Source organism: Homo sapiens, chromosome 4 (genome assembly GCF_000001405.40).
Source record: "Homo sapiens chromosome 4, GRCh38.p14 Primary Assembly".
NCBI lineage: Eukaryota > Metazoa > Chordata > Mammalia > Primates > Hominidae > Homo > Homo sapiens.
In genome coordinates, this window is record NC_000004.12 from 25,645,080 (window position 1) to 25,653,646 (window position 8,567).

At 44.1% G+C, this 8,567-nt stretch overlaps 1 annotated feature.

Annotated features, from left to right (window-relative positions):
• Nucleotides 708–881: a silencer, noted in NCBI's record as "fragment chr4:25647409-25647582 (GRCh37/hg19 assembly coordinates)". NCBI's record gives its function as "represses an EF-1alpha promoter that drives an FKBP-Casp9 reporter gene in an ReSE screen in phorbol 12-myristate 13-acetate-treated (for megakaryocytic differentiation) K562 erythroleukemia cells {active_cell/tissue: K562(+PMA)}" and the evidence as "EXISTENCE:reporter gene assay evidence [ECO:0000049][PMID:32094911]".

Here is an 8,567-nt window from a genome sequence, read left to right on the forward strand (position 1 = left end):
CACCTGCTAGCTATGTCTTCACTTGGTGGAAGTGGCAAAGGTCTCTCTTGGGCCTCTTATTTTTTTATTTCATTTCATTTTATTTTTTAGATGGAGTCTTGCTCTGTTGCCCAAGCTGGAGTGGTGGCACGATCTCAGCTCACTGCAACTTCGGTCGTCCAGGTTCAAGTGATTCTCCTGCCTCAGTCTCCTGAATAGTTGGGATCACAGATACCTGTCACCACACCTGGCTAATTTTTGTATTTTTAGTAGAGATGGGGTTTTGCCATGTTGGCCAGGCTGGTCTCGAACTCCTGACCTCTTGGGCCTCTTTTATAAGTACACTAATCCCATTCATGAGGGCAAATCCCTCATGACCTAATCACCTCCCAAAGACACTGGGTCCTAATACCATCACCTTGATGATTAGGTTTCAACATAAATATTGGGGGAGGGGAGTCATAAACATTCAGACTATAGCACCCCATATTTCTGTTTTGAATTTATCATTTCTTTGTTACATTGTATCATAAACATTTTGATGTTGCTACATTGTTTTCATAAATGTCTTTTTTTGTGAGATGGAGTCTTTTTGAGACGGAGTCTCACTCTGTCGCCCAGACTGGAGTGCAGTGGCATGATCTCGGCTCACTGCAAGCTCTGCCTCCTGGGTTCATGCCATTCTTCTGCCTCAGCCTCCTGAGTAGCTGGGACTACAGGCACCCACCACCACACCTGGCTAATTTTTAGTATTTTTAGCAGAGACGGGGTTTCACCTTGTTAGCCAGGATGGTCTGGATCTTGTGACATCTGATCTGTGCACCTCATCCTCCCAGGGTACTGGGATTATAGGCGTGAGCCACCATGCCTGGCTAATTTTTGGAATTTTTGGTAGAGACAGGGTTTCACCTTGTTAGCCAGGATGGTCTCAATCTCCTGACCTCGTGATCCCCCTGCCTTGGCCTCCCAAAGTACTGGGATTACAGGCCTGAGCCACCACGCCCGGCCCATAAATGCCATTTTTTAAAGGGACTGCAAATAGTCTTGCTTATCTAGTGAAAGTGCCGTAACTTACTCAAGTCACTCTCTCATTCTGGACATGTAGTTTGTGTCTTTCTTATCTTTATTCTTTACTCCGTAATGAATATTTTCATACATAAGGATAAAATATTTTTTCAATGTGGGTATCTGTAAATATAATTATTAAGTCAAAGGATAAAAAAAGTCATGTTTCTAAATAAATGTTGAGTTCATTTAAATTACAAAGCCAGAGGCCGGGCGCAGTGGCTCACGCCTGTAATCCCACCACTTTGGGAGGCTGAGGTGGGCAGATCACGAGGTCAGGAGTTCGAGACCAGCCTGGCCAACATCATGAAACCACTGCTCTACTAAAAATACAAAAATTAGCTGGGCATGGTGACACACGCCTGTAATCCCAGCTACTCAGGAGCCTGAGACAGGAGAATCCCTTGAGCCAGGGAGGTGAAGGTTTCAGTGAGCCTAGATCACGCCATTGCACTCCAGCCTGGGTGACAGAGTGAGACTCCGTCTCAAAAAAAGATAATAAATAATAAAAAAAAATTACGAAGCCAGACACTAAGGGTTCCATAAATAAAAGGAATAAGCAGAAATCCACCACAAAAGATATAGATCTACTAATTCAATCATGAAAAATGCCAATTTTTGAAGTACATATTAAAACCGTGAATAGGACACTTTTCCCGCTAGTACAATTTGTTTGAAACATTAATGTCTAACAGTGATGAGGGAGAAATGAAATAGATATTGGTGATTCACATGAACAGAACCTTTGAGGGAAAACTAGAAATATAAATGATCTGTCTACTGTTTATTATACTGTTCAGTGGGGATATTTTTTCCCACTGTGTTTGCCTAATTTTACATAGCTATATTGTCAAATCTATAGCTCTTTTGGGTTATCTCATTCATGGTTTTTCTGTGATCTGAGTTTTAAAGTCTTTCTCCTGGAATTAATTTTTTTTCCATTGTTTTCCATCCCAAATCAACATCCCTGGAATTAATTTTGATATATGATATGATATATGTCTAAGTCAATTTTTTTTTTCTAATTGACAATTGGTTACTCTAGAAAATTTATTAGTAATCCTTAACTTTAAAAATTGATTTGAAATGCCTTTTTAACCTAACAGCAGGAATCTATTTCTGGGTCATTTTATTCAACCATTCATCTTGCTGCTCCTTGGTTATTACCACATTGTTTTGTTCATTGTAGTTTATTACATTGTAGTTTATTATTTATTTATTAGATTGTAGTTTATTATTTTGTATTTATATAAATACAAATTTATACAAATATTAGTTTAGTATTTATTATTTATTACATTGTAGTTTACTAGTGTGTTTTGATATCTTATAGAGCTTGTTTCATCTCATTTCTTTAGTTTCTTCTGAATTTTCTTCTATATTCTTGTCCTCTCTATTCTTCTGTATTGGTTTTACAGATGCTTTCTTTTTTGTTGTTTGCTTTATTTTTTCCTTTGGAAACAGGGTCTCACTATTTTGCCTAGGCTGGGCTCCAACTCTCCATCCTTCCATCTCAGCCTCCTGAGGAGCTAGGATCACAGGCATGTACGACCTTGCCCAGCTACTCAGATGAGGTTAGAATTTTCTTGCCAATGTCCTATCTTCTCCCTGGGTGGGGGATGCCAGGGTGGGCTGGCCCAAGTGTTTCGGTCCCTAATGCCCTCATAGCACATATGTGTGTGTCAGACAGGCCTGCTTAGGCGGGTCACCACAACAAGAGGTTTGACGTGAGTGTGTGTAGAACCAAGGAACAAGCTCTAAAACAGGGGCTTCCAACCAGAGAGAAGGGATTAAACCCGCCTTAGGGTGGGACTGGGTTGATTAAATTAAGGAGATTGCAGGCATGGGTGGGGCTAAGTGGGACCTATTTAAGGCCTCTTATCTTCCCCGGTCTCAGACTAGTGGCTTCCAGTTCTGACTGAAGCGGTCTCCAGCTCTGAAGCGGTCTCCAGCTCTGAAGCTATCTCCAGCTCTGAAGCGGTCTCCAGCTCTGAAGCGATCTCCAGCTCTGAAGCGGTCTCCAGCTCTGAAACGATCTCCAGCTCTGAAACAATCTCCAGCTCTGAAGCGGTCTCCAGCTCTGAAACAATCTCCAGCTCTGAAGCGGTCTCCAGCTCTGAAACAGTCTCCAGCTCTGAAGCGGTCTCCAGCTCTGAAGCGGCCTCCAGCTATGAAGCGGTCTCCAGCTTTGACTCCAGTTGTTTCCAGCTCTTCTGGACTGACTTCTTTCCAGGTAGGAAGACCAATGCAGGGTCTGAGGGATCTGGAACCTTCACCACAGTATAACTAATTTCTTCAAGTCCTGAGTGGGCAAAGGTGGTCTCTGGGGAGATGGTGAAGGGTGGGGTATCAGAGTGTCATGTGGGGCTTGGAATGATGAAGGAAGTTGGGGTGACCAGTCAAGGAGGTCCCCATTTTCCAGCCCGGCAGGCTCTCCGTGTGTTGTTGGGAGTGGAGTAAGGGGCTAGTCCCTTTGTCCAGTGAAATAAGAGTGTGCTCGTGTGTCAATGAGCTCCCCATGGGGCCTGTTGGAGAGCTTGGGTCTCATTTAGGAGATGATGTCCACAGATTCTTGCTTAGGCTTATGAGAGGTTGGTAGAGTTGTGAATCTGGTTTGAATCCTGAGTGGACCAGAAACTTGGGCAAAATCTAAACTCCCAAGCCAGACTCCTCATCTGCAAAATGGCGATAAAATTACTGGATAATCTAGGGTTGTTGTGAGAATTTAACAATTGAGTGTTCAGGCTTTTGACATTTATTGGAGACAGGGTCTCGCTCTGTTACTCAAGCTGGGGTGCAGTGTTTGCTGTGCTCACAGCTCACTGCAGCGTTGGTCTCCTGCTCAAGCAATCTTCCCACCTCAGCCTCCCAAGTAGCTAGGGCCCCAGTTGGGCATCTCCCTGCCTAGCTTATTTTTGAAGTTTTTGTAGAGACAGAGTCTCGGTATGTTGCCCAGTCTGGTCTTAAGCTCCAGGACTCATGTAGTCCTCCCACCTCTGCTTCCCAAATTAGTGAGATTACACGTTTAGAAATCAAAAGTTAAGAGATGAAAGTTTCGGCCAGGCGTGGTGGTTCACGCCAGTAAACCCAGCACTTTGGGAGGCCGAGGTGGGTGGATCACGAGGTCAGGAGTTCAAGACCAGCCTGACCAAGATGGTGAAACTCTGTCTCTACTAAAAATACAAAAAAAATTAGCTGGATGTGGTGGTGCACGCCTGTAATCCCAACTACTCAGGAGGCTGAGGCAGAGAATTGCTTGAACCCAGGAGATGGAGGTTGTAGTGAGCTGAGATCGTGCCACTGCATTGTAGCCTGGGCAACACAGCAAGACTCCGTCTAAAAAAAAAAAGATGACAGTTTAGAGGTGAAAAGTGATAGGTTTTGACATCCTGGTTTCACCATCTGATGCAGGTAATCTGCAAAATGTGGATAATGAATCAACAGTGGTTGTTAAAGTTTTAACTTTTAAAAACTCTCTTGCTTTCTTCATCTTAAATTCAGTTTATAAATATTTTTGTATTATTTATACATTTACTAAAGTTTAAACAATGCGTTTTAAAAATACTTTATATTTTAAACTTCATTTATACTTTTAACATATTTAGTTTATTTTTATAAATTATTGCAATTGTCTAATATAACAAAACTTCCAATCTATCCAAATAATTTTTATAAATCTAATGAGCACCAGGCAGAGGTAGTAAGCTGGCAAGCAAGCAGCTAGTGGGCTGCATTTAGCTTGACATGGATTTTGCTTGGCTCCTACAGTTGCTTTAAAAAAAAAACCCACACTTAAATTCTGAATATTTTTATTTGTTTTATTTTGAGACCAGGTTATGAGACTGGTTGATTTTTGTATTTTTGGTAGAGATAGGGTCTCACCATGTTGGCCACGCTGGCCGCAAGTGAGCTGCCCACCTCAGGCCTCTCAAAGTGCTGGAGTTACAGGTGTGAGCCACCGTGCCTGGCCAAAATTCTAAAATTTTACCCGAAAGGCTTAATTTCTAGCTTCTGAAATGTGAGAAAAGTAGCAACACTTGCCCCAGTTCCCAGCAGCAACAGCCAGGCGAAGATGAGGCGTGGCTGCTCCATTTAGAGGAAAATCAGTGTGTCAGTTCTCTACTCTGAGATCTTTTTTGTCCCACCTGGCCTTTTTCTGTTTTCTTTTTTGAGACAGTCTCCTCCATCACCCAGGCTGGGGAGCAGTGGCAATCACTGCTCATTGCAGCCTTGACTTCCTGGGCTCAAGCAGCCCTGACTTCCTGGGCTCAAGCAGCCCCCTTGCCTTAGCCCGCTGAGCAGCTGGGAATACAAGCGTGTGCCACGCCCAGCTAATTTTTTAAAAAAATTTTTGCAGAGACAGGTCTTTCTATGTTGCCCAGGCTGGTCTTAAACCCCTGGGATCAAGGGATCATCCCGTTCCAGCCTCCCAGAGTGCAGAGATTATAGGCATGAGCCACTACACCAGGCCAATAGCAGGGGATTTTAAGGGAACATTTTTAACTTTAAAAAACTAATCTCTTGGCTGGGCGCAGTGGCTCATGCCTGTAATCCCAGCCCTTCCGGAGGCCAAGGTGGGCAGATCACGAGGTCAGGAGTTCGAGACCAGCCTGGCCATAGTGAAACCCTGTCTCTACTAAAAATACAAAAATTAGCTGGACATGGTGGCGGGCACCTGTAATCCCAATACTCCGGAGGCTGAGGCAAGAGAATTGCTAGAACCCTGGAGGCAGAGGTTGCAGTGAACCGAGATCACAACACTGCACTCCAGCCTGGGCAGCAGAGCGAGACTCTGTCTCAAACATACACACACACACACACACACACACACACACACACACACACAAACTGATCTCTGCCAGGCACAGTGGCTCATGCCTGTAATCCCAGCACTTTGGGAGGTGGAGGCGGGCTGAGGCAGGAGAATCGCTTGATCCTGGGAGGTAGAGGTTGCAGTGAGCTGAGATCGCACCATTGCACTCCAGCCTGGGCAACAGAGTGAGACTCTGTCTCAAAAAAAAAAAAAAACCCAAAAAAACAGCAACCAAAAAAACCTGATTTCATGGGGGCAAGATTCAAATGTCAACTTCAGTTTGAGATTAGGAGGCCCTGATTCATTAAACCGATAGTTATGTATTGGACCTACCATGAGTTGAATGCATGCATACAGTGTGGTGGGAAGGGTCTGTGAGCTCTGAGAGGCCAGAGTTTGAGAGTCTGGCGGTGCTTCTAGTCATAACAGACACATAATAGGACATAAAAGGAGTAGTATTTACCTACTAAGTTCCAGGCCTATGATAATGCTTTACACTCACTGGCTTGCCAAATAACTTATAAACTATACAAACTTTATTATCAGGAACTGTTATATTTAATAACTCAGGCAAAATATTCACATACTCTTACCAGTACTAATAGTCATTACCATGATTGATCTTTTAGGCTGTCTTTGACAAACAGAAATGGACAGTGTCGTACGGTTCCAGCATTTAACCTCTCCTCCACCTCAATCTTACTTCCCTACGTTTCTCTTTGCCTCTTCTTTCTCACTTAGTTTTGAATCAATTATACTTTGTCGATCTGTTAGCTGTCTTAGATCCTTTTAGGAGCAGCATACAAATAGAAAAATACAGTCTCCCATATCCCACAACCAAATATAACCACAATGAACATTTTTGTGTATTGCTTTCCGGTATTTTTCTCTGCATATTTATGTACATATTGAAGCCAGGTTGAAGACAGCCTGTAATTATGTCAGCCCTGTGTTCTGTTCCGTTAGCATTTCTCCATTTAAACCTGACTCTTTGAAGTCCAGTGCTGTCTCATGACTAGATAACACATTATTTGACTTTTCTGGAATTCTGGCTGTATCTAAGGGGATAGGTTTCCTGTCACTGAGCCTGACTGAACAATTCTGAGATTATCAACACTGCCATAGGGCCCCGAAAAAGCGTCTAATGAATGCAAAAGTTCAAAGCGGTTTTGTTCAGGTGTTATTTTTGGAGACACTTTCTCAGGCTTTTATGATGCAATCCACTTTGTGCCCCTCTCTTGCAGCAGCTGCGGCCAGGGAAAAAGCACTAAGTGGGCTTGCTCACTGGTCCTCAGGGGTGGGTACCCTGGGCAGGTCAGCCCAGAAGTCAGCTGCCTCCTCTCCAGGCCCTGCCTGGACAGCTGAGAGTCAAGCAGACAGTTATGTGCCATCCCTACCTCTTTTCTGTCTTCAGTAACTGGCAGCTTCATCCTGCCAGAGAGTTTGGAATGAGCTAGGACTTTCCCATCAGTCTGAACTCCTGGGTTTTCCCAGGCCTGGTGACTCAGAGGGTAAGGCACCGAGCCGAGGAAGAGAAAGGAGAACCTGGACTCCTGGGTGCCTTTGTCTCACCACACAATCACCTCCCAGGAAGGCTGTCATCCAATCACTCCTGTGGAATCTCTCTGCCACTTTGTTGTAAAGAAAGTCAGCCCCAGTGAAGGGTAAAAAGAAGTGCCAGAGGGCCTTGGGGACAAGCCATATACTGGTAGAAAGGGCACTGGGGCAGGGTCCGAACAGCTGAGAGTATGTCTAGCACCAGGATGAAAATCAGTAGTTCACAGAGCTGCTTTGTTTGACCTACTCCGTATTTTTTTAATGGTACATTTCACATAAAGACCTGTATATCTGGCTTCCCCACAAAAGTCAAGATCTGACAGCATCTGACTATATTTTCTCATGCAATATCTGAAGCTGGGTAGCAGCCAGCCCTGGATGGGGTGTTTCCTCTCCAGATTAACACAGAGCCTACCAACTTGTTAAATCTCACCTCATAGGACAATAGGCGCAAAAATATACTGAAATGAGTTGAAAAAATGGTAATACTTTTTTTTTTTGAGACAGAGTCTCACTCTGTCGCCCAGGCTGGAGTGCAGTGGCACGATCTTGGCTCACTGCAAGCTCTGCCTCCCAGGTTCATGCCATTCTCCTGCCTCAGCCTCCTGAGTAGCTGGGACTACAGGCACCCGCCACCATGCCCGGCTAATTTTTTTTTGTATTTTTAGTAGAGACAGGGTTTCACTGTGTTAGCCAGGATCATCTCGATCTCCTGACCTTGTGTTCCGCCCGTCTCGGCCTCCCAAAATGCTGGGATTACAGGCTTGAGCCACTGTGCCCGGTTTGGTGACACTTTTTTGATGAAAGTATTTTTTTTTAATTTAATTTTTTTGAGACAGATTCTTATTCTGTCATCCAGGCTGGATTGCAGTTAGCTCTCACTGCAACTTCCGCCTCCCGGGTTCAAGTGATTCTTGTGACTCAGCCTCCTGAGCAGCTGGGATTTTTTTATATTTTTAGCAGAGACGGGGTTTCGCCATGTTGGTAGACGGGTCTCCAACTCCTGGCTTCAAGTGATCTGCCTGCCTCGGCCTCCCAAACTGTTGGGATTACAGATGTGAGCCACCACACCCAGCCTCGATGAAAGTATTTTAGATGTTTGTATTTATACATAAGGCTCTATGTTTGAAGTACTAAATGGTGAGAGTATTTT